Source organism: Homo sapiens, chromosome 10, assembly GCF_000001405.40.
Source record: "Homo sapiens chromosome 10, GRCh38.p14 Primary Assembly".
Taxonomy (NCBI): Eukaryota; Metazoa; Chordata; class Mammalia; order Primates; family Hominidae; genus Homo; species Homo sapiens.
Genome location: NC_000010.11, coordinates 15,759,948 through 15,786,464, shown reverse-complemented (window position 1 = coordinate 15,786,464; position 26,517 = coordinate 15,759,948). Strand labels below are relative to the sequence as shown.

Here is a 26,517-nt window from a genome sequence, read left to right as displayed (position 1 = left end):
CGCAGATATGAGACTGAGAAAACACCGTTACATGGAAACCTTCCCAGACAGAGGGAATGTGTGTTCGAATACGGTAACGCAGTGCCTTGATGGGGAGGGCAGCAGAAGATGACGCAGACACCAGTCTATACACATAATGATACGGAGAGAACAGTTCGGAAGTTTGAGGAGTAAAAAGAGAAAGATTCTCTTTCTCCACTCCCACCCCCACTTTTCTTCTCTCAGGAAGCTGTTAAATACTGTGAGAAGAGGTCAAGGTGGCTGTGGGTAGTAGAAGCCCCTAGCTAGTGAAGCTAAGCTCCTGGAGAATTAAAACCTAAGTGGGTCTGGGCCGTTTCCCATTGGGACATGTCTTCCACTGGGCTTTGATAGGAGCTCAGTTACCTGGAATAGCAGAGGCATCTGGGCCAACCTGAATGTTTTTGAGTTGTATCTGCATCATTGGCAAGCCAGTTCTATATCCAATACCCATCTTTCTGTCTTTGTTCTCTAAGTGAAGCATTTTACCACTAAATCAAATTACTTAACTAGATAACAGATATCATGGTCATTTTATCAGATATCAGTATAGTTTGCACTGAAGTTCATTGTTGCAATAGACATTCCAATTTCTATTTTACCGCTATTATTAGAGAGACATATTGACAAATAGAAAAAATTTAAAAGCAAGAGGGAAAATTTCAAAATATAATTACTAAAATTCAGAATGTAATTGTTAAAAAAGATTGTTAAACTCAAGATAAAATTGTTAAGAAAGAGGTAAGATTCAAAAAGTAACTGAGGATATCACAATGTAGACAATGTAGACTACTGGACTTCTTAAAACTTTGGTCTTAAAGCCTTCATGAAAAATTAGATTTTATTGTCCGACATTAGACCCTTCAGTGTGATATCCTCTTTGTTCACATTCTGACTGGATATCTGGATTAATAATACATTATACCATCTTAAACTTTGAGACAGTATTAATTTTAATTATATTTCAAGGCTGCTATCGGAACTTTTGATAGAAATGTTGATTCTTAGTTATAATAAAAAGAATATTCCTGTTTTTAATTTAATTTGGGGAAGATTTTGAAAAGTGAGAAATGTAAAGTGAGACAGTTACTTGTAGTAATTTTTTAGGTAAAAAGAGGGTTCTAGTCCCTTCTCTTTCGCCTGTAACAGACATTTCCATTTGGTTGTACTGTTTGTTGCCTCTGTGTTCCTCTCTCACTGTTTACTTGTTGCCTGCTATTCTGAAGACACTCTCCACCTGGGCCTGGTTTGTCTCATTGTCTGTATAGTTCATGCTGTTTGCCTCCCACGAGCATGTGATCCTGCTCTTGGTTACCTTTAGAGCAGTGAGTTCTCAGTATGATCTCCAAGAGCTTGTTAGAAATGCTAATTCTCAGGTTTCTCCCTGAAGCAGAGACTTTAAGGGTGGGTGCAGCAATGTGGTCTAACAAGCCCTGCAAGTGATCTGGAGGCCCAAGTTAGAGAACAGCTGCTTTAGAGGAAGACCTGTCACAGTCCCACCTATTCCCATCTGTTCCCATCCTATAGCAGCTCAGACGCCCTCGGTGTCATAGATCTTTTCCGATCATGCCCTACATACCACTGATGTCCCCTTTCCCCTGTAGCCACAAAATGCATAGTGACTCAACACTCCTTTTGGCAATTAGTCACATACTGCCTTGTCCCTAACAGATGAATATAGTGATCATTCCGTAAACTATTTATTTATTTAAGATGGAGTTTCGCTCCTTTACCCAGGCTGGAGTGCAGTGGCACGATCTCAGCTCACTGTAACCTCCGCCTCCCTGGTCCAAGCAATTCTCCTGCCTCAGCCTCCTGTGTAGCTGGGACTACATATGGTGGCCTGGCTAATTTTTGTATCCTTAGTAGAGATGGGGTTTCACCTTGTTGGTCAGGCTGGTCTCAAACTCCTAACCTCAGGTGTTCCACCCGTCCTGGCCTTCCAAAGTGCTGGGATTACAGGTATGAGCCACCTCACGAGGCCCAGTAAACATTTATTTAATCAGCCACAAATAAATGAAGTTGCAAAACTGGAGTGACAAGGACAGCCAGGAAAATATTTAACTTCGGTAATCTTTACAATGCTTCAAGTAGGTCCTGTGGAAGAACACTTATTTGCTATGATGTAGAGGCTGATGCAGGAAGAAAAAAGTGGTAATATTTATAAGCTTTTCAAGACCATTCGTTTAAATAAGAATAGCAGAAGCAGCTCCCCTTTCCCAAGCACATACTCTCCATCAGGCACTGTGTGCCTTCCAAACACCATACTATTATCTTCCCCATTTTGACAATGAGGAAATTGAGGATTAGAGAACTTAAGACGATTGTTGAAGGTCATACACTAGGTATCTTAGTAGCTGATTCAGGAATTTTTTGACAATGAGGAAATTGAAGATTAGAGAACTTAAGACAATTGTTTAAGGTCATACACTAGGTATTTTAGTAGCTGATTCAGAAATCCAATATAGTCTGTCTAACCACAGAGTCTATGCACTTTACCAGTGGGCTACACTACTTTTTGTTGGTATTTCTGTATTTTATGCCAGTTAATTACTGGAAATAGGGAATATAAATTATATTCAGTTACAGGAAAATGGTTATTTAAGTTCAAATAATTTAACTCTGATAGCCAAGAGTCAAATTATGTAACTAATTGCAATGACTCCTGTAATTAAGGAAACGATCAAATTGATTTTTCTATTTTCTGTAAGGCATTTTGAGTGGGATACAAAACAATTTTAGGCTTTAGTTGGGAATGTAAGACATGAAAAATTAAACAGTCTTTCAAAATAATAGAAGAGATGATACAAAGTAGTACTATATGATTCCTTCTCAAATTATTTAGACAATTGTTATGATAAAGGTTAAGTTCCAGTGTAGTAAAAAACTAACTAGTGTGTCCAGGAAAAACTTTACAGAAAAAGTAAGATTTAAACCAGGTCTGGAAAAAGGAAGGAGAGGAGGGCATTTTAGAGAAGAGTAAAAAAAAATCATGAATGTGCAAAAGGCCAACAAAAGATCTTTTCATGATGAAATGAGTCATGCTTGTCCAAAACAGAATTCAGAAAGGTGAGTAGTTGGAGATAAGACTAAAAAGGTAGATTAAGCCCTGTATGATTTTAAGACTCATGATTGCAGGTCACAGAACCTCAGCCTAAATTGGCATAAGTGAGGGGGAAAATACATGAAGGGGAAGGAGTAGCTCAGGTGAATTGAAGAAGCAAGCACCGGGAAAGTGCTCCTGGAGTCCTTGAACAGCACTGGGAGGTCTCCACCTCCCATCCCCTGTCTCTAAAGTGGCTACATTCTCACAGCCTATCTTTCTGTAGGAGCTGAAGCTCCAGTTGCCAGCAGCTGTCTTCCCTTAATTCCAGTTGGAAAAAATTCTAAGGAGGGCCATGTGCCTGTTTGTATCCATCGGATATGGCCAGGAAGACAAGGGGGATCTATCCAGGCAGACTCAGCCAGGGGCCCTGAGGGAAATCACTGGGAGCCAGGCCTGTAATGGCCTTGAACGCCAGGTTAAGAGGGTTGAACGTGATCTTTAGCTAATTGAAAAGCAAGGTTAAGATAGTGGGAATAACATGACCCATTTTTCTACAAGCTTACTCTGTTAGTGATATATAGGATATCCTTTCTTTATTGAATATTACTGAAATCGCCTTAAGCATTATAAGTATGTTTTCATTTCTCACAGTGCTCTTTTCACTAATTAATGGTTGACAATATTCAAATATTGGATATTTTTTGGAAAAGAAACCACTAATTAAACATCGTGGGCCAAATTGGAAGTATTGGTACATACTGGAAGTGTATTTAGTCTGAGTAAAAGTGATGCTACTGCTTTTCTCAATTCATTGAGAGGAACAAATTATTTACATAGAAAAGGAGATATACTTTAGCAAATGTTTTAGAAGCTTGTCTTTTGAAAAAAGTTATAGTGATACATGCACATAATTAAAAAAAAAATAAGTTAGTTCTGAAGAGCTTATAATGGAAATCAACCTTCCCTACTTTCCAGCATCTTCTTCAGAGGCAACACTTTCAACTTCAGGGCTTTCTGGTAGTTACAACTCCATAAACCTAAGTTCCTTCTTTTGTCAAATGAGTCCCCAGTCAAAGGATAAGGATTTGAGAAACATGCATTTTACTTTCAGTTGATTAGAAATTGCCTGATATAAATATAATTTAAAGTGTTAATAGTCCTTTATTTATAATAGGGCTCCAGTGGTCCAGAATCTTTTACTGTCTACCACTACAATGGATTGAAGCAGTCAAATTATAATGAAAAGGTATGATAATTCACGTAGTCGTCGGTGTTCAACTGGGTTGATGAAATAATTATGTGAGTATGTAACAATGTTCGATTCCCGTACAATTGCTACCTAAGATTATTCCAGGAGTCTCTTTACTATGAGGACACATTTTAGAATCAGCCATCTTTGGATTTGACCAGTATATGTTAGTCTGCATTGGAAACTGACATTGGACTTCAGAGCAGTAGTTTCACCATGACTAAATACACCCCCATACAGATCGTTACCCTTGGCAGTGTAGCGTGTTTCTAAATCAACATCGTAGTTAGTCCAGTGAAAGTTGTTACTTATCCATTTAAAGGAAGAAAGAGGTAACAGTGAGACTTTTTACTGGAAAAAATATTTTTAAATAAATAACCTTCATAGTCAGCATATATTGAGCATTTACCCGAAATTGTATTAAGTACTTTGCTTAAGTTTCACAGCACCTTATGAAGGAAGTGTTGTCTGTATATCTCCATTTTACAGGTCAAGCAGCCAGGAAATGACAGAGCTGGGAGTGAAACTTAGTCCAGCTCAGAGACCATGCTCCTACCCATGATGCTTTGCAGCTTTCCTTTGCTAACCGTTGACAAAGCACATAGGTGATTCACTGCCAGGTGTACTCAACCTGGCGTAAAGCTAGAGTTCGGCTGCATTGATTTCCCCTTTTTGTGTGTCTATTATCTTTGCATTTATTCAAGTATGAGTTACAGTACATACTAGTTATAGTATATATATATATATATAATATATATGTATTAGTTATAGCTAATATTAAAGGAATAAGGTCTAACATTCCTTTTTAATTTGATCTGCCCATGCTGACTTCATGTATCTAAATTGTGGAAGGTTACAGAAAACAGTGTAAATTAAGTACATAATTTTAATTAGACCAAATCTAAAAGACTAAAATTTACTGCTATCTTTATAACAAAATATAAATTAGATGTTTTTGTCAGGTCCAAAGATATATATATACAGCATCCAAATTTTCTTGACAATGTATATTCTTTGCATGTATATATATATGCAAACTTGGATGTTGTTTTCTAATGTGCGAATGAGTGCTTCATCTAGAGTTTGATGTTTGCACAGCTTTGTAATAGGAGGTACTTTATAATCACTAATTATTCACCTACACAATCCCTGCAAGATAGGTCAAATATTATCCATATTTTACAGATGAGGCATCTGAGACGGGGAGATCAAGTGACTCACCCAGGGTCACACAGCAAGTCATTGGCAGAACAGGGATTGGAACTGAGTTCCTGATTCCCAATCCTGTCCTTGGTCTGCTTGGCCACTCTACCTGTATGTAGTATAAGTTTTCAAATCATGTTTGTGACAAGCTTCTGACACACCAACAAAAAGATTAGAAAACAAATAGGATGAACTGTTAAAATGACAGTAATATACAGCAGCTATAAAGCAAAGTATGGATGTCATTAAGTCACAGAAATATGTTTTGAAGTTAATCAGGAGCTAAAATTATAAGCTGCATAGCAAGGTCCTGTTAGAAAGGAAACAGACAAAAGGAGAATGCTGGCAAAGTGAGATGGAGTCTGAGCCGCCAGGCATCCGAGCCTGATTGAGGCCATGGAGGTGGGTCATGGCACCTTGCCCAAGCACTTCTGCTCTAATGACATGAGTACATGAAGTTCTTTGTGAAAAATAGGGCCGATTGTATTTAACTTAATAACTTGAATTATATTCTTTGTGTATAACTTTTCAGAGAAGGCAGTTTTGCTTTGGGGACTGAAAAGCCCGAGTTGTAGTTTCAATGTCAATTTATTTCATCAACACTAGAAACTAATATATTAACTAAAATAAAGATGCCAAAAAATGTATTTCACGTTACAATGTATCTTTAGCACTTTCTTAGGAATGAGTAGATTCATGACACAAGATTATCTGATCTAGTAATATATTCTATTCCTATATTTAATGTGTTTTAGAGGCAACTACCATTTAAGGATAATAAAGTTGTTTCTTTTGGCTCCTTAAATAGCTTATGGCTTTTATTTTGGAAGAACATAATTACACTCATGTGTATCAGCCAGTGAATGTGTAAAAATAATTTTATACACTTTGGAAGAAGACAGTCGTCTGTATCTGTTTCTTTTAAATTATACAGCATCAGAATTTCTCTTGGTACAAAAAAGAAATTAACCACCAAGGAGTGCCTTAATGTCCACAGTGAGCCCTTGGTAATGAGTTAGGGTTTTTGTTGATATGTCCAAAATACTTTTTAAGTATGTTTCATTGTAAATTAATCAGAATAAAATTTTTCTTGCTATTCACCTGCCAGTATATATTTCTGTGATCACTGCCACTGCATATACAGTATCTGGTTAGTTTGATCTTTCAACGTCTCTTTTACTTTTCTTTCTGTCCTGACATCCTTTTTAATTTTTTTCTCCATGATTTTTCATGCTGTACAGAATGCACTCATGAATTGCATTTCAGGAATATTTAATACCATAATAGCAAGTTTTGTTGACAAACATTCAAATTGGTTTCAGCTCTAGAAATTCAATACTTAAATTAGAAGGAGACACATGTTCCTCAGAACATAATAGCTATATTCCTTTTATAGCTCTCCGTTTCATTAGGCAGCATGAGCATCTGAGAACCTCAGTATTAAAGCAGTAGGACCTGTATAAATTATATGTAAATATGATAATTAAGCATTTCTTTCCGATGGTATAGATCCGTTGAAGAATGTTTTTTTTCTTAGAAACAATCTATGTGTTTTAGGATTCACATGATCTTGAATTTTTTAAAAATCACCTGGCCAGCTAGCAATTAAATATCGTTTACAAATTTACTTTCACATTAATCAGTAAGCAGATATTCCTTCTCATTTCTAGCAAAATAAAATTACATGTCAAGTTTCATCTGAAACTATGTAATACCTTATTTGCTAGCCTCTAAAAATTGTTTTCATTCCACATAAGAATTTGCTAAGACTGTTGCTTGACCTTGGTGGCTTTATTTTGTTCAACAGGTCATGTACGTAGAAGGGACTGCAGTTGTGATGGGTTTTGAAGATCCCATGCTACAGACAGATGACACTCCTATTAAACGCTGTCTGCAAACCAAATGGCCATACATTGAGTTACTCTGGACCACAGATCGCTCTCCTTCACTAAATTAATTTGTCTAAGTATTTATAAGGAAGATCTTAATAACAGATGTTGAAAGAAGGAGTCAAGACTGGCAATTGGCTGGATTAAGCTAAACACTGGTATCACTGATTAACTGTAAATAACAATTAAAAACACATTTTCAGTGTTTATGATATGTTTAAATTATTTGTCCTAAAGCTTTATGTTAAAGATTATCCTATTTTACCCCTTCGTGTGAAATTTACTAGCAAAATTAAGCTTTCATCAAAGTTCATCACTTTTGCATTCAGATACTTGGTCATTTACTTACCAAATTACAAACGCAATACTACAGCATTTGTATATTAAGTATCACAGTTACTATTGATAAACTACTTTTGGGTTTTATTTCATTGAGGCACTTTTTTTATTGTTTGAATGATTCCGGCTTGTAATATATCAGCCTCTACAATGAAATGCAGAAGAGTTCATTTTTCTAAGATCTGTTTTTCATTAGAAATATTGACAAATAACACATTGTCAACCTGGATCCTTTGACAATTTACTTAACTCTGGCATGTTCACAAAAAGTAGAAACTCTAAGAGACCATTACCATTTATTCACAGATGTATAGGGGATGTATTCTAAAAACTGACAGAAAAGAGAATCTGATAGTCAACACTGTTAACTTTTACTGTGTAATTGCCAAATACACTTTTCCAAATTTGTCCCAACAGCCCTGTAAGCCAGCTTTCTTCTATATTTATAAACACGATAAATGCATGAGAAGATCTGTTATTACATTAGTATATTACGTTATTTATTATGATCCTAGTTGATGGCCTAAATAAACACCTTTTTCTTTAACTGTACCCTTGCATTTTTTACATTGGTGGCTCAAAATAAACAAATACGTACTTCTAAATGTTTCTACCCAATAACCCTGAGAGCACAGAGTACTACAAATGGCTAAGTCATACAGGACCTCGAATAAGAGACCAGGCCTTATGCTAACCTAAGAGCTCTGCTAACTCAGCCAGCCAGAAGCATGAGAACCCACATGGCAGCTTTCTAGACCAGTGAGCAAAGATGCAGAAGCCCGTTTACTTGAGAGAGAGATCTGCTGTATTCTGATAGGTTTGTGGCCCAGCAATTTAAAATCACATAGCCATTAATACTTTTTTTCCTCCACGTGTAAAGCCACGTGTAAAGCAGATAATTATGTAGTATCCTCTTACACATTTCAGAACTGAACATTACCTTCAATAGTATAGTTCCTGTGTGAATTTCTGTTTGGGTTTTGTTTTCTTTCGTACACACACACAATTACAATATAATTAAGCATAGGGAAAGGCATGAGATTTTGTGTATAACTTTTGGTGACATTCTGTTCAGGAGTATGATACTACTTATTAAACTTACAGCTTTCAAATGTCAATATTTTGGTCTAGGCTACTTCCAAATCTGTATAAAATATATAATGCTAGAATTAGTTTCTCAAAACTCTGGTTTAATAATCCCAAATTCCAAAAGGATTACACAAAATCGTAGATTGTCTCATAAACATCAAGCCTATGAAATAGAATGGTCCTCTTACCATTGTTACACAACAAATCATCCCAAAACTTCATGGCATAAAACAACCATTTGATTAAATGTACAAATTCTTTGCTCAGGAATCTAAACGGGGCAAGGTGGGGATGCATGGCTTGTCTGCTTCAGTCAGCAGCCAGGGGCTAGAATTTTCTGAAGCTGTCTCTACTCACGTGGCAAGCATGACTGGACCTTAGCTTGATATCATTGCTGTAGAACACTACATTTAAATAGCCATGGGAACATTTCCTTTCCACATGCACTTGGGCTGCTTACCAAACTAGATTATATGCTGGCAATAAAGTAAGTCTAGAAAATCTCAAAAGATTGGAAATTAAGTGACACACTAATGAATTACCAAAGGGTCAAAGAGAAATTGCAATGGGAATTAGAACATACTTTCTACTGAGTGTTAATGAAAATATGACATAGCAAAAATAAAGGAAATATATAGCATTAAATATGATATATTAGAAAAGTAAAACATTTGAAAATTGGGAACCTAAGCTTTTATCTCAATAACAAACCCAAAATAAGAGGAAGTAAATCCTAAAAGAATATCCATATACAAAAGAATGAATTTGGATCCCTACCTCACACCATTTGCAAAAAGTAACTTAAAATGATTGATTATATATCTAATTATAAAAGCTGAAACTATAAAATCCCTAGAAGAAAACAAAGGAGTTGATCATGATCTTGGGTTAGGCAATGGTTTCTTAGATAAGATACAAAACACAAATGACAACAAAGATAAATTGGACTTAAAATTAAAAACTTGTGTGTGTCAAAGGACACCCTCAAAGTGACATGACAACCCATAGAGTGGGGAAAATATTTGCAAATTATATTAAGGGATTTGAATACAGTATATATAAAAAACTGATAACAACAACAACAAAAACTTTTAAATGGACAAATGATTTGAAGAGACATTTCCCCCAAAGAAGATTGGTCCTTAGAGAAACACCAATTGATCCTTAGAAAAATACCAGTGAAAACCATAAGATATCACATCATAGTCATTAGGATGGCTAAAATAAAAAAGATCTGCAAAAGCAAGTGTTGGTGAAGATGGGGAGAAATTGGAACCCTCATACATTGCTGGTGAGGATGTAAAATGGTGAAGACACGTCAGATAAGAGTATTGTAGCTGCTCAAAAAAATACAGAGATGGCACATGCCTCACTAATCCCAACTCCCAGGTATATCACCAAAAGAAATGATGAAAACATATTCACATGAAACTTTTTGTGAATGTTCATACCTGTATTATTTCATAATAACCACAAAGTGGAAACAACCTGTTGATCAGCTAATAGAGGGATAAACAAATATAGTATAGATGGTCTCCGACTTAACAATTATTCAACTTAGCAATTTTTCAACTCTTACAATGGGTTTATCAGGGTATTAAATGCATTTTTGACTTACGATGTTTTTGACTAATGATGGATTTATCAGGACATGACCCCATAGTAAGTCAAAGAACATCCATATATATATACAATGGAACCTTATTTGGCATTTTAAAAGGATGAATTACTGACACAGACTACAATGTAGAAGACCCTTGAAAACATTATGCTACATGGAAGAAGCCAGTCACAAAGGCTGTATGCCTGATTCCATTCATGTGACTGTCCAGAATAGGCAAACATAGTGGATTTCAGGCACCAGGAGCTGGAGGGGGGACAGAGTAGGTTAACAGGATTGAGGAGTGACTGCTAATGTGAATGGAATTTCTTTTTGGGGTGATGCAATGTTCTAAAATTAGATTACAGTGAGGGTTGTACAACTCTGAATATATTAAAAAACCACTTAATTGTGAGAATAAAAGATAAACGGGGAAACCAATGAAATAGAAAATAGATATATAATGGAAAAAACTCAGCAAATCCAAAATTTAAGCCTCTGGAAAAAATCAATAAAATTGATAAATCTAACAAGATTGATCAAGAAAAAATGAGAGCATTAGCATCAGGAACAAAACGGGAAACATTATCTGGATATTAAAATAATTGGAGGAGATTGTGAGCTATTTTATGCTAAATTAAACTTAAAAATTTAGATCAAACAGACAATTTGAAAAACACAACAGCAGAAGCAGAACTGACACAAGAAATTCTGTATGTCTTAAAGAAATTTAATCAATAATTCAAAAACTTTCCTTAAAGAAAACTCCCTGGCCTGGATGGCTTCACTAGCAAATGCTTTCAAACACTTAAAGAAAAAATAATAGCAATTTTAAATGCTTCCAGGAAATAGAAGGAATAACTTCAGAATTCCTGTTATGAATCCAGTGACCCTGATATCATACTTTAAAGACATTAAAAGAAAGAAAAATTATAGACAAGTATTTCCCATGATAATGGGAACAAAAATCCTATACAAATAAGAAACATCAATAAAGTATGTATACATGTATGTGTGTGTATATAACACATCATGACTAAGTGGGGATTTTGGCAGAGCGATAAGTTGGTTTAATATTAAGAATAAGCATTTTTCACATTAACAGAAGGAGAAAAGTCATGATTCAACATGGCAGAAAAAGCATTTGATATATAATTTAAAACTTACGATTTTTACCCAGTAATGGGATGGCTGGGTCAAATGGTATTTCTAGTTCTAGATCCCTGAGGAATCGCCACACTGACTTCAATGGTTGAACTACTTTACAGTCCCACCAACAGTGTAAAAGTATTCCTATTTCTCCACATCCTCTCCAGCACCTGTTGTTTCCTGACTTTTTAATGATTGCCATTCTAACTCGTGTGAGATGGTATCTCATTGTGGTTTTGATTTGCATTTCTCTGATGGCCAGTGATGGAGAGCATTTTTTCATGTGTTTTTTTGGCTGCATAAATGTCTTCTTTTGAGAAGTGTCGGCTCATGTCCTTCACCCACTTTTTGATGGGGTTGTTTTTTTCTTATAAATTTGTTTGAGTTCATTGTAGATTCTGGATATTAGCCCTTTATCAGATGAGTAGGTTGCAAAAATTTTCTCCCATTTTGTAGGTTGCCTGTTCACTCTGATGGTAGTTTCTTTTGCTGTGCAGAAGCTCTTTAGTTTAATTAGATCCCATTTGTCCATTTTGGCTTTTGTTGCCATTGCTTTTGGTGTTTTAGACATGAAGTCCTTGCCCATGCCTATGTCCTGAATGGTAATGCCTAGGTTTTCTTCTAGGGTTTTTACGGTTTTAGGTCTAATGTTTAAGTCTTTAATCCATCTTAAATTAATTTTTGTATAAGGTGTAAGGAAGGGATCCAGTTTCAGCTTTCTACATATGGCTAGCCACTTTTCCCAGCACCATTTATTAAATAGGGAATCCTTTCCCCATTGCTTATTTTTCTCAGGTTTGTCAAAGATCAGATAGTTGTAGATATGCGGCGTTATTTCTGAGGGCTCTGTTCTGTTCCATTGATCTATATCTCTGTTTTGGTACCAGTACCATGCTGTTTTGGTTACTGTAGCCTTGTAGTATAGTTTGAAGTCAGGTAGCGTGATGCCTCCAGCTTTATTCTTTTGGCTTAGGATTGACTTGGCGATGCGGGCTCTTTTTTGGTTCCATATGAACTTTAAAGCAGTTTTTTCCAATTCTGTGAAGAAAATCATTTGTAGCTTGATAGGGATGGCATTGAATCTATTAATTACCTTGGGCAGTATGGCCATTTTCACCATATTGATTCTTCCTACCCATGAGCATGGAATGTTCTTCCATTTGTTTGTATCCTCTTTTATTTCATTGAGCAGTGGTTTGTAGTTCTCCTTGAAGAGGTCCTTCACATCCCTTGTAAGTTGGATTCCTAGGTATTTTATTCTCTTTGAAGCAATTGTGAATGGGAGTTCACTCATGATTTGGCTCTCTGTTTGTCTGTTATTGGTGTATAATGCTTGTGATTTTTGTACACTGATTTTGTATCCTGAGACTTTGCTGAAGTTGCTTATCAGCTTAAGGAGATTTGGGGCTGAGACAATGGGGTTTTCTAGCTATACAATCATGTCATCTGCAAACAGGGACAATTTGACTTCCTCTTTTCCTAATTGAATACCCTTTATTTCCTTCTCCTGCCTAATTGCCCTGGCCAGAACTTCCAATACTATGTTGAATAGGAGTGGTGAGAGAGGGCATCCCTGTCTTGTGCCAGTTTTCAAAGGGAATGCTTCCCGTTTTTGCCCATTCAGTATGATATTGGCTGTGGGTTTGTCATAGATAGCTCTGATTATTTTGAGATACGTCCCATCAATACCTAATTTATTGAGAGTTTTTAGCATGAAGGGTTGTTGAATTTTGTCAAAGGCCTTTTCTGCATCTATTGAGATAATCATGTGGGTTTTTGTCTTTGGTTCTGTTTATATGCTGGATTACATTTATTGATTTGCGTATATTGAACCAGCCTTGCATCCCAGGGATGAAGCCCACTTGATCATGGTGGATAAGCTTTTTGATGTGCTGCTGGATTCGTTTTGCCAGTATTTTATTGAGGATTTTTGCATCAATGTTCATCAAGGATGTTGATCTAAAATACCCAAAGGACCATAAATCATGCTGCTATAAAGACACATGCACACGTGTGTTTATTGTGGCACTATTCACAATAGCAAAGACTTAGAACCAACCCAAATGTCCAACAATGATAGACTGGATTAAGAAAATGTGGCACATATACACCATGGAATACTATGCAGCCATAAAAAATGATGAGTTCATGTCCTTTGTAGGGACATGGATGAAATTGGAAATCATCATTCTCAGTAAACTATCACAAGAACAAAAAACCAAACACTGCATATTCTCACTCATAGGTGGGAATTGAACAATGAGAACACAGGGATACAGGAAGGGGAACATCACACTCTGGGGACTGTTGTGGGGTGGGGGGAGGGGGAAGGGATAGCATGAGGAGATATACCTAATGCTAAATGACGAGTTAATGGGTGCAGCACACCAGCATGGCACATGTATACATATGTAACTAACCTGCACATTGTGCACATGTACCCTAAAACAGAGTATAATAATAAAATTAAAAATAAAAATAAATAAAACTTATGATTTTTTAAAATCTCAGTAAACTTAGACTAGAAGGGAGCTTTTTTAATATGATAAGGAGTGTTTAGAAAAAAACACATTCTTAATGGTGAAATATTAAGTGCTTTCTCCCCCAGGTTCAGGATTATGACAACTATGTCCATTCACCTCTTCTGTACAGCATTGTCCTGTGGAAGTTCTGGCCAGTGCAATAAGGCAATTAAAAGAAATAAAATATCAAACGATTGGAAAGATGTTAATGTGTCATCATTCATAGAAAACATGATTCATAGATATACATACACGAATGCTTTGAATTCATAAGTAGATTCAGCCAGTTGCTGGATATAAAGTCAATATACAAAAACTATTTTTATAGACATGAAACACGCAATGAGAAAAAAAATTTAACCATTTTTAGTAGCATCAAAAAACCCCCATACCTAGGAATATGAATTCATACAATGGACAATTACATATTACATAACCACTGTCGATATATAGGGAATATTTCCTTCCCTCTCCTAGTCAATACCACCTGAAAAAGTAACATTATTCTGATTGCCATCGTCATAGGTCAATGTTGCCGGTTCCTGACTTCCATATAATTAGAATAACACACATAGTCTTTTGTATGAGGTTTTTTTCTTTTTTCTTTTTGGCTTAAAATTGTATCTGTGAAATTCTCCAACCTTTTGCATGCATCAGATGCATTATTTCTTATTAATATGTAGTTATTCATTGTATGAATTTGTAGTACTATTTGGGATATGTTGATGGATATTTATCATTTCCAGTTTGGGATTATTATAAAGAAAATAGCCCTGAACATTTGTAATATATGACTTTTGGTGAATGTAGCATTCATTTCTGTTGATTACAAACTCAGGGGTGAAATTGTTGAGTCCTAAGGGAGCTATAGATGTATTCAACTTCAGCTGATATGGCTAAATAAATTTGCGAAAAAGATTGCATCAAGTTATGCTCCCATCAGCAATATGAGAGTTCCTGTTTTTCCACATTGTCAGCAACACTTTGTACTGTTACTCCTTTTAATTTTAGCCGATTTGGCTGAAGGTGTGGTAATATCTCATTGTAGTGGCCAGGCGTGGTGGCTCACGCCTGTAATCCCAGCACTGTGGGAAGCCAAGGTGGGCCGATCACGAGGTCAGGAGATCCAGACCATCCTGGCTAACATGATGAAACCCTGTTGCCTGTAGTCCCAACTACTTGGGAGGCTGAGGCAGGAGAATGGCATGAACTCGGGAGGCGGAGCTTGCAGTGAGCCTCCAGCCTGGGCAACAGAGTGAGACTCTCTCAAAAAAAAAAAAAAAAAAAATCTCATTGTAGTTTTAATTTGCATTTCCTTGCTGGATAATTAAGTGCCATTTCAATGCTTACAGATCATTATGGATCTCTTTTTTTTGTGAAATACTAATTCGAGTCTTTTGCCCATTTTTACATTTGGTGGCCTTTTTCTTTTTGATTAGTAGGAGTTCTTTATATATTCTGAATATAAGCCCTTTGTTTCATATATATATAATGGAGATATATTTTTCTGGTCTCTGTATTGCCTTTTTACTCTCTTAATGTCATATTTTAATGAACAAATTCTCAATAATGTCCTATTTATCATATGAATAGTATTTTTATGTATCTTTTTATGAATAGTATTTTTATGTATCTTTTTAAAGAAATCTTTGACTACTGCAAAGTCACAAATTATCCTAATTTTTAGAAGCTTATGCTTTTACTTTTCACATTAGCTCTCTTATTCATTTTAAATTAAATTTCTGTGTATGAAATAAGCCAAGTCTAAGGCTCATTATTTTCAAATAAATACTGATCAACAATATTTATCAACAAGACTAGCCTTCTATTTCATTATACTGGAGCCCTTGTTAAAACTCAGGTGTGTTTGCGAGTCTGTTCCTGAACCATTTTGTTCCACTGGTTTATCTCTCCTTGTACACACCCCACATTTAATTACTGCAGCTATACAAAATCTTGAAATCTGACACATTAATTCCTCCAAATTTGTTTTTCTACTTCAAGATTATCTTGGCTACTTTCAGTCCCTTTCACTGTCTATATAAATTGAAGAATCATATCATCAAATCTACCAAAAAAAAAAAAAACTCTAATGAGATTCTAATTAGGATTTCATTGAATTTAAATCTCAATTTGGACAGAACTGACTCTGTGATATTGAGTCTTCCAATCTCTGAGTGTGGTATATTACTCCATTTATTTACTGCTTTGTCCCTTAGCAATGCTTTCTAGTTTTCAGTGTAGAAAGTTGCACATCATTCACTGAATTTATTCTTTATCAGGGTTTCCACTGAACTGCCACTGAGGTGCCTGTTTCTGATTAGTGAACAAGTGAAGTGGGGACCTCAGTGGCCATTTAGCAAGGAAAAGTGAGGGCATGGATTTAGGGTAATCATGGCTGCAGTGAGCCACAATTACACCACTGCACTCCAGCCTGGGCAACAGAGCACGACCCTGTCTCAAAAAAAAAAATTATATGCACATTTAAAAGAATTGTGGGGTCAAGAGGTGGTTTCAGGAAGACAACTCTTAAAAGTGTCCCCTTACACAATCACTGAGAGCAGACTGTGATAAAGAGATGCCTGATGGGCAGGAAGCATAAATCGATGAGGATGAGACAGTCAAAGAAACAGAAAAACACGAAACATAAAAACAAAAAAGGCAATAAAAAAAAGTCACATTGTAATAAACATCTGCATGAGCTCCCCCAGTTTGTCAAGTATTACTTTCTCAGTCTTTAAGTTATGAGTATAGATACCATTTCTTACAGTGCCTTTGAGTCAGTGACTAGGTTTGCTCCGTGGCCTTTCCACAAACCTATAGCAAGAGTGTCCCTGTTTTGTAAGTGGGGCACCTGAAGTGCAGAAAATGAACTAATGTCCATAACCACACAATCAGAACATGGCAGTGCTAAGACGCGAGGCCACCTGGACAGCCCCTGTACTCTGCCCCCTGAGTTCCTGTGAACCATAGTGTGGTGCCAAGCCATGAGGACAGTCAACATCACCTATACCTTCAACTATCAGGCAACTTTGCAAGACACGAAGCGATGAAGACCAGACCAGAGGTGAGACTCACATCTCACCACTTCCTTCCTAGTATGAATTTGGGCGATTCACTGAACACTTCCATAAATAGAATGGAGTTGAAAATAATATTTATCTTCATTCATTCACAAGAATTGAACATGGCTGTACATACTAAATAAGATATTAAGCATAAATCATTCTAGCTCATATTAGCTGGTCAACAAACGTTTGTTCTCTCTGCCGGCATCTTCCCCATGAAGCAGATGGAAAGGGGAAGACATGATGTTACCACGTGTACCTAGGAGACACTTCCAACTGCACACAAAATTTACACCAGCTCAATCTATGGAAAATCAGAATCAATTTAACAGAAGAAAAATGCATACATGGCTGACTGACATGTAACATAGTACTTATGTCTGGTTATATAACTTAATTTCCTAAGCATGAAAAAGATCTGCTATGAAGGAATTTTGATCTCATTATAAAACCAAAAGTACAAATATTTTTTCACTATGTTGTGAACCAGAGTTAATACTCAACATCTATACTGAAGAACACCAACTCATTCTATCAACACATTGGTTATATACTTATATACACAGTAATTCTTTCCTCCCTGTCAATTGCATTTCTTGTTCACACTAATGTTACATATTAAATCAACTGACTAATTATAAACCAATATTTTGAATCAAAAAGCAAATGTGAGCGATTTCCAGCTGCCTTGTGGAATTAAAACATTTTGTCTATAAATACATCTATACTCATGGTAACATTTAATAAGAGAAATATGTCCCATTAAAAATCGCACTGCTCTGGAAAAAACAAAACAACGTAATAGTGTTTATTTTTATTTACTGCATTTCCTATATAGTCTTATTTACTTACTGTCACGCCTTTTTAATCCACTTATTTTTACAATTTCAAGAAAGTTGATAATATCTTTTCCTAGCTGGCAGAGTCCTGAAATCCTAATTGAAATATACAACATTTCTTTGCAAGAGCCTAGGGCTAAGAAGTTAGCATAGTGGACGACTCTGAGGTCAGAGTGGATCCCTGACAGACAGAGGTCCTAGCCACGCAGCCTTGGACCGGTTCCAAAACAAAATATTCAAGCTCTCCAACAATCCAACATTTTAGGGAATGGGGCAAAGAGGGCAACAGTTTCCAGCATATTTCTAAAAAATGGGTCTGTGGTCTCACAATGTCAACAAGCACTGCAATAAGTTTGGAGGCTTTCAGATGCAGCAACCAGATCGTTTTACATCTGTAGTTCTAGTAACACTTTATGAAACAAAATTGGGACTCAATAGTGTTGTGTTGAATGGTTATGTAATATTAACACCCATTTGTTATCCATTACAATCTTCATTCACTGGAGAAGGAAATTTTCAGGAACTGATTTTTCTATCGAACTCTGGGGATATGAGTTTTTCTGTCCTGGGTAAATGTCACAGCTGGAATAACCCTAGATAGGAGAAGTCATGGAATGAAAGTAACATACTATGATGCAACTGACTCCAGCTCCCATACATCCAAAAATGACAATATTGGGTGACTGAAATGAATCTTCATTGATGAGATTCTCAGGGTTGGTCGCAAGATTGGGTCAAAACCTCTGGCAATGAGATAGGAAAGACTGCTTTAGGTGAAAGGGTGCTGTCTCTCTCCTAATAGCGAGCCAAACCTTGAGACTTTGGTTTGGCTGCAGAGGGGTTTGATCACAGTGGAGCAGGATGATGCGGGGCCCATGAATGACTTCCATGGAGGACTGGAGGTGAGCATGAGCCCAGCTGGTACCCAGATGTCTCGGGAGGACACGGGGGAAAGGAGGTGAGGATTGGCAGGAAAGGAAGAGGGAGAAGGCCAAATGCAAACACCTAGTTGAATATTTTTAAGAAGAAACAGTATCATAACCAGGACAGGCAAGATCAAGTGTAGTTAGGAGCCAAAACCAGACAGCCCCAAAGAGGTGGAATTGGAGATGGGGGAATTTCCAAACAGCAGGGAGGAGGGGGCTGTCTAGAAAGGGAGGCTGAGAGTGCCTGGTAGAGCTCATGCTGCATCCTCACCACACAGATGAGACAGTGAAACCCAGAAGTAAAGGCCCCAGGTTCCATACTAGTAAGTAGCACACTGGACCTACTTGTCATTGAGCGCAGTGCAAGGAGAGACCAATGAGTAGAGAGTCCATGGTCTTCATGGCAAAGCACAGAGGAGATTATACTTTTCCTTCTGCAGTGAGTTCCCTGCCACCTGTATGTGCAATATTCTAATTGGGACAGGGTGCAGTGGCTTACACCTGGAATCCCAGCACTTTTGGAGGCCAAGGTGGGCAGATGGCTTGAGGTCAGGAGTTTGAGACCAACCTGGGCAACATAGTGAAACCCCATCTCTACTAAAACTATAAAAATTAGCTGGGCATGGTGGTGCATGCCTGTAATCCCAGCCACTCAGGAGGCTGAGGCAGGAGAATCACTTGAACCTGGGAGGTGGAGATTGCAGTGAGCCAAGATCGATTCACTTGAACCTGGGACGTGGAGATTGCAGTGAGCCAAGATCGTGCCACTGCACTCCAGCCTGGGTGACAGAGCTAGATTGTCTCAAAAAAAAAAAAATTCCTAATTGGTTTTTCTGGTTCAGCTCTACTTAGTTCACGACCCAGGGTCCTACCCCGCTTTCTTTGTGTAAGAAAATGGGACAGGGAAGAGCGGGAGGAGAGAGGGCCTTTCTTGGGTTGTCACCTTTGTCCAAGTGTAATATTCGTGGTGACAGACCACACCCTCCTTCCGCATCCTGGGTTTGGGAGCCAGTGGGTTGCCTCCCTTCCCTGAAACTAAGTGAGGGATGTATCAGAAGAAACACTTTTTGAGACAGTGGGTGTTTGCAAGAATAAGAGACCTTCTTAGACGGCAGATAAGGGGGTATGCCCTGCTGAACAGGAAGGAAGAGAACTGGAGAAGGCATGGCAGGGCAGTAGGGCAGCCTGCATTTCTACTTTCTAGGGCCCCAGGGAAGGGAGCCATGCTTGACTCATCTCCAGGTGGTCCAGCTGGGACAGCAGCCAACCAGGAATCTAGGATTTCACCTACCGAAAACCTGTGCAGAAGGGAGGCCCCTCAGCACGTCCTAAAGAACCTGCCCGGGGCCGGGCGCGGTGGCTCACGCCTGTAATCCCAGCACTTTGGGAGGCCGAGGCAGGCAGATCACGAGGTCAGAAGATCGAGACCATCCTGGCTAACACGGTGAAACCTCATCTCTACTAAAAATACAAAAAATTAGCCGAGCGCGGTGTCGGGCGCCTGTAGTCCCAGCTACTTGGGAGGCTGAGGCAGGAAAATGGCGTGAACTCGGGAGGCGGAGCTTGCAGTGAGCCGGGATAGCGCCACTGCAGTTCGGCCTGGGCAAAAGAGCGAGACTTCGTCTCAAAAAAAAAAAAAAAAAAAAAAAAAAGAGAACCTGCCCGAGTACCCACTTGAGAGAGCAGCATTTTGGTTGGGAACCCACTGAACAAACAACACCAATGGTGGCTCAGTGTTAGCCAGAAAAGAAGAGGCCACCCCACAAGAGAGGACTACAAGACTTTCTGGTCCCAGAAAGAAGGGTGCATCGCCTTCCCTCTCCTCCCTCCTTGTCCCGGCACCTTGGAAGATCAACGATGAGTGTGAGAGGTGGTTTCCTGGACCCGCCCCCAAGCACTTCCCTCACCCTCAATCCAAGCAACCAAATTCCCCATTCAGGCCGGTACTAACCCAGGCAGGATGGGATATGGGGGAAGCTGAGGTTGACACTGAATTTGAAACTGATGCTTTAGATTAAATTGATTTTAATAACTGTTAAATGAGTGGAAAGTTAGGAAACCTTAGCATCCTCTTTAATCTCTCTCTCCATCCCACAAACCACCAAAAGAGGCTCTCAGTTCTACCTTCAAAGGATATCCACAATCCATCTGCTTCTCACCATCACACTGCTTCCATTCTGCTACAGCCACCTTAGCTATCACCCGAATGACTATACAAAGCCTCCCCCACTTACATTCTGGCTTCCCACCTTGCCCTGCTATGTCTATTTATAACACAGCAGACAGAATTATCATATTACACGCAAGTCAGATTGTGTCACTCCCCTGTTCAAAACCCTCCTGTGCTTGTCTGATACATGATCTTCACCCACCCTCATTTCTTCTCTGATTCCATTTCCAGTAACTACCCCACAAAGATATTCATATGTTCCAGCTACAACTGGCCTCTCTGCTGTTCTTCAATTCACCACACATGCTGCCTCAGGGCCTTTGCACTTACATTCCCTCTTCTTGAGACTTTTCAGGTTTTTTTCTTTTTTTTTTTTTTTTTGAGACAGAGTCTTGTTCTGTCACCCAGGCTAGTGGGCAGTGGTGAGATATTGGCTTACTGCAAACTCTGTCTCCTGGGTTCAAGTGATTCTCATGGCTCTGCCTCCCGAGTAGCTGGGATTACAAGCGCCCACCACCACACCCGTCTATTGAAACTCTCCATTCAGATATTCCAAGGTTCCTCCCTTTACCTCCTTTAGATTGCTTAAATGTCTCCTTCCAAAGAAGTCCACCCTGGCCATGCGATTTAAACTTGAACTTCTTCTCTCCAGGTCTCCATTTCCTTCTTCTTTTCTTTTCTTTTTTTTCCTCTACTTAACCCTTATCTACATCTGGCATGTTTTGCTAACTGTGGTGGAATATACATTCATGCTTTTAACTGTTTCCCAGTCCAATCAGGAGTGTTCATATGACCTGCTTTGGCCAATGAAATGCAAAAGGAAATGATGCATGCTGCCCTCTAAGCGGAAGCTACAAAGCCATCCTATGGCTTTATCACCTCTGTTTTCCCTCTGCCATCAGACCAGCACATCCCAAGGAGGGCTTTCTTCGCGACCTTGAAGGTGATACGATGAGAGCTGCAGCTAGCCTACAAAGGCCACGTAGTGTAAACTCGTTGCTTTATTTAGGTTGCACCATCTATGTGCATGTGGCCGGTCCTCATGGTGGGTTAGGCTCAATAAGAAACTAAATTACCGATTGTTTGATGGGGAAAGCATCAGAAGAAAGGAAGCTCTGCATTGTCAAAAGGACATTTACAGCAAGCTATAATGCTGGGTATTTTCACCATTCTCTAAGTCAAAGAATATTTCCGGCCAGGTGCAGTGACTCATGCCTGTAACCCCAGCACTTTGGGATGCCAAGGTGGGTGGAATACTTGAGGTCAGGAGTTCGAGACCAGCCTGGCCAACATAGTGAAACCTGACTCTACTGAAAAAAAAATTTATATATATATATATGTATGTATGTGTATATATATATGTATGTGTGTATATATATATACATACACATACATATATATATGTATGTGTATGTGTATATATGTATAAATTAGCCAGGCATGATGGCGGGTGCCTGTAATCCCAACTGCTTGGGAGCCTGAGGCAGGAGAATCGCTTGAACCTGGGAGGCAGGGTTTGCAGTGAGCAGAGATCGCACCACTGCACTCCAGCCTGGGTGACAGAGGGAGACTCCATCTCAAAAAACAAACAACAACAACAACAAAAACACCACAAAGAATATTTCCAGTATATAACTAATTCCAAGCTAACTCATCCACTCTTTATTATCTGTATTTTCCACCAGGATGTAGACTTAGTGAAAGCAAGGATATTTGCTTGTTTTGTTCACTACTGTATAAACCGTGTTTAACACACAGTGAGAATTCAATAAGAACGTGTTGAATGAATTACTCCTGTGAAGAACTGGTCAAAAGATGGGTAAAGGAAATTTGATAAAGTATGGTTTAAGTCAGTGATCAAGAAAAAAAAATTCAACTTAATATTTTTACCACCAGAGTTTCAATCACACAATCAACAAGTTATCTGTGTGCTTGAGGTATAGCAAATGCTGTATTCAGATTTGCTATTATGCCTGTTATCATTATTGGTTATACTATAATTGAAATTATGGTATAAACATCAATGATATTTTGAGAATGGAGAAGTCTTTGTCAAGGCTGGGTCCCTTTGATGGTAGAAAGTTCCAGATGGCCTTGTTTGCACAGCTGACAGCTGGCCCTGGCTGCTGACTGGGAGTTCAGCTGGGGTTGCATCCAGGGTTCTCAATTCTTCTTCACATGGACTTCCCCACAGCACAGAAGCTGGATTCTAGAAGGGAGCGATCCAAGAGGACAAGTCCCAAAATATAACAGCCAAGCGTACCTTCACTTGTTCCGTTGGCCAAGGTTGGACGCATGGCTGATGTTCCGTTGGCCGAGGTTAGACGTTGGCTGATGTTCCGTTGACCAAGGTTAGACGCATGGCCAAGCTCAGAGTCAGTGAGGGAGGTGACGATGCCAGGACATGAGCACCAGGGAGTACAGGTCATTAGGAGCCGCCAAAGTCACACACAGGCTGTCTCGGGGAGCGTCTGCACCAAAGACAGATTCAGTATCCAAAATCTCAAACTTATCTCTTTACCTGACTGTGAACTAATTCAGGAGATCCTTTCACAGAGACAACTTTGCAAAAGCCAGATTTGTAAAAGATAATATCAATTTCTTGATTTTTCTTAGAAAATATGCCAAAATCTGGGCTGGGCATGTTGTCTCACACCTGTAATTCCAGCACTTTGGGGGGCCAAGGCAGGCAGATCTCTTGAGGCCAGGAGTTTGAGACCAGCCTGGCCAACATGGTGAAACGCCATCTCTACCAAAAATACAAAAATTAGCCAGGTGTGGTGGTGTGCACCTGTAGTCCCAGCTACTCAGGAGGCTGAGGTAGGAGAATCGCTTGAACCTGGGAGGCGGAGGCTGCAGTGAACTAAGATCGTGACACAGTCTGGGCGACAGCAACACTCTGAAGAAAAGAAAGGGAAAGGGAAGGGAAAGGGAAAGGGAACGAAAAGAAAAGAAATAAGAAGAAAGAAGAAAGGAAAAGGAGAAGAGAAGGAAGAGAGAAGAGAGAAAGAGAAAGAAAAGAGAGGAAGAAAGAAGGGAGGGAGGGAGGAAATGGAGGGAGGGAGGGAGGGAAAAAAGGAATGGAGGGATGGAGGGAGGGAGGAAAAGAAAAGTAAGAAAAGAAAGAAAAAGGCCGGGCGCCGTGGCTCACGTCTGTAATCCCAGCACTTTTGGGAGGCCAAGGCTGGCGGATCACGAGGTCAGGAGATCGAGACCACGGTGAAACCCCATCTCTACTAAAAATACAAAAAATCAGCCGGGTGTAGTGGCGGGCACCTGTAGTCCCAGCTACTTGGGAGGCTGAGGCAGGAGAATGGCGTGAACCCGGGAGGCGGAGCTTGCAGTGAGCTGAGATCGCACCACTGCACTCCAGCCTGGGCGACACAGTGAGACTCTGTCTCAAAAAAAAGAAAAAGAAAAGAAAAAAGAAAAAGAAGAAGAAAAGGAAAGAAAGTAAAAGTAAATATGCCAAGATCAAAACTCAGTAGCATCTGTGTGCACGTGACAGATCTTCACAGTGGGTGAGGGGCAGTAAGACCAAATTACAGGTTGTTTGGAGAGCAAATACATAGCAAAAAGGAAACTGTGTGGTCAAAAGGACACTTAAAGCAAGCCAGTGATGCTGGGCGTTTTTACCATTCCCTAAGTTAGAAAATCAAACTTCCGTCTCACTCACTGAAACTGGCAATTTAAGTCAGTGTGGCGATTCCTCAGGGATCTAGAACTAGAAATAGCATTTGACCCAGCCATCCCATTACTGGGTATATACCCAAAGGATTATAAATCATGTTGCTATAAAGGCACATGCACACGTATGTTTATAGCGGCACTATTCACAATAGCAAAGACTTGGAACCAACCCAAGTGTCCAACAATGATAGACTGGATTAAGGAAATGTGGCAGATATACACCATGGAATACTATGCAGCCATAAAAAATGATGAGTTCATGTCCTTTGCAGGCACATGGATGAAGCTGGAAACCATCATTCTCAGCAAACTATCGCAAGGACAAAAAACCAAACACCGCATGTTCTCACTCATAGGTGGGAACTGAACAATGAGAACACATGGACACAGGAAGGAGAACATCACACACTGGGGCCTGTTGTGGGGTGGGGGGAGGGGGAGGGATAGAATTTGGCGATATACCTAATGTTAAATGATGAGTTACTGGGTGCAGCACACCAACATGGCATATGTACACATATGTAACTAACCTGCACGTTGTGCACATGTACCCTAAAACTTAAAGTATAAAAAAAAAGAGTCGATATAATGAGTCTCCAGTACAACAGACAATGAAACCAGGTTTCACCCTCAAAATTTCTTCTGTAAAGATTTAATATGATCTCATGCAATCATTGTATCAGAATTAAATACCACCAGGTAACCAGGGACACATCATCTACTAGTTCCAGTTTAAATTGGTGGTTTCTGGAAGAAATTCAAGGATACTTGTTACAACCACAAAATATGTGCATAATGCCTCACAGTTGATTTGTGACCCTAATAGCTAATCACATTCAAATCCTGATGCTGCATCTTTACATCAGCTGTAGCGAGTGATATTTTTGCACATGCTTCCAATTCCTAAAAGGACTGGATGCTATTTGGGCATAAAATTTGAAAACAAGACCGGGCACAGGGGCTGATGCCTGTAATCCCAGCACTCTGGGAGGCCAAGGTGGGTGGATGATCACCTGAGGTCAGGAGTTGGAGACCAGCCTGACCAACGTGGAGAAACCCCACCTCTACTAAAAATACAAAATTAGCCGGGAGTGGTGGCACATGCCTGTAATCCCAGATACTAGGGAGGCTGAGGCAGGAAAATTGCTTGAACCTGGGAGGCAGAGGTTGTGGTGAGCGGAGATCATGCCATTGCACTCCAGCCTGGGCAACAAGAGCGAAACTCCATCTCAAAAAAAGAAAAAAAAAATTTTGAACACAAGTGTTTAGAAACATCAGTCTGGCATCACTCATCAGATTGTTAGGAAAAGAAAGACCAAAGATGGAAAAATAAATTAATGATGAGGCCCCGGACTAGGGAAGGGAAGAAGGAAGATGAAAAGCACAGTAAAGAAAAATCAACAGGATGGGGTTTGAGGGTTTCATCAGATATGGGGTACAAAGAGAAGGAGGACATAAAGATGATTTCAACTTTTTTATTTCAGGGGTTGAAAATGGAATTAGAGAAAAAAAATCATCTGGAATCAGAAGGAGTAGGAGGATAAGTTATTTGAGGGGCAGATTCAGTTTCAAATATAGTTCTTCATTCAACAGATTTTTTTTAGCTAACACTGTGCCAGACACAATTCTAAGCTCTAGGGTCCAGTGGCAAACAAGACAAGGTTTCTGCCTTCAGGCAGTTCATGTTCCACCGGAGAGAGGCACACTGCAACCATCTAAG

At 39.0% G+C, this 26,517-nt stretch overlaps 1 protein-coding gene and 1 long non-coding RNA gene across 14 annotated transcripts in view, besides 1 other annotated feature; one reads left to right on the top strand and one right to left on the bottom strand.

Annotated features, from left to right (window-relative positions):
• MINDY3 (MINDY lysine 48 deubiquitinase 3) overlaps positions 1-8,291 on the top strand; it is an 82,334-nt gene extending 74,043 nt beyond the window's left edge. For 7 of the 11 annotated variants that reach the window (XM_005252600.3, NM_001318330.2, XM_006717508.3 and 4 more), the window contains 2 exons: positions 4,239-4,310; positions 7,324-8,291. In XM_005252600.3, coding sequence (XP_005252657.1) covers positions 4,239-4,310; positions 7,324-7,473 — 222 coding nt within the window. In that variant the 3' untranslated portion in view covers positions 7,474-8,291. The other 4 variants (XM_017016671.2, XM_011519690.3, XM_047425772.1 and 1 more) reach the window with 3 other exon arrangements.
• LOC124902383 (uncharacterized) overlaps positions 1-26,517 on the bottom strand; it is a 121,044-nt gene that overhangs the window by 72,336 nt on the left and 22,191 nt on the right. The window lies entirely within an intron of this gene.
• Positions 2,229-2,429: a silencer, noted in NCBI's record as "peak878 fragment used in MPRA reporter construct". NCBI's record gives its function as "represses an SCP1 promoter by STARR-seq MPRAs in K562 erythroleukemia cells {active_cell/tissue: K562}" and the evidence as "EXISTENCE:reporter gene assay evidence [ECO:0000049][PMID:32103011]".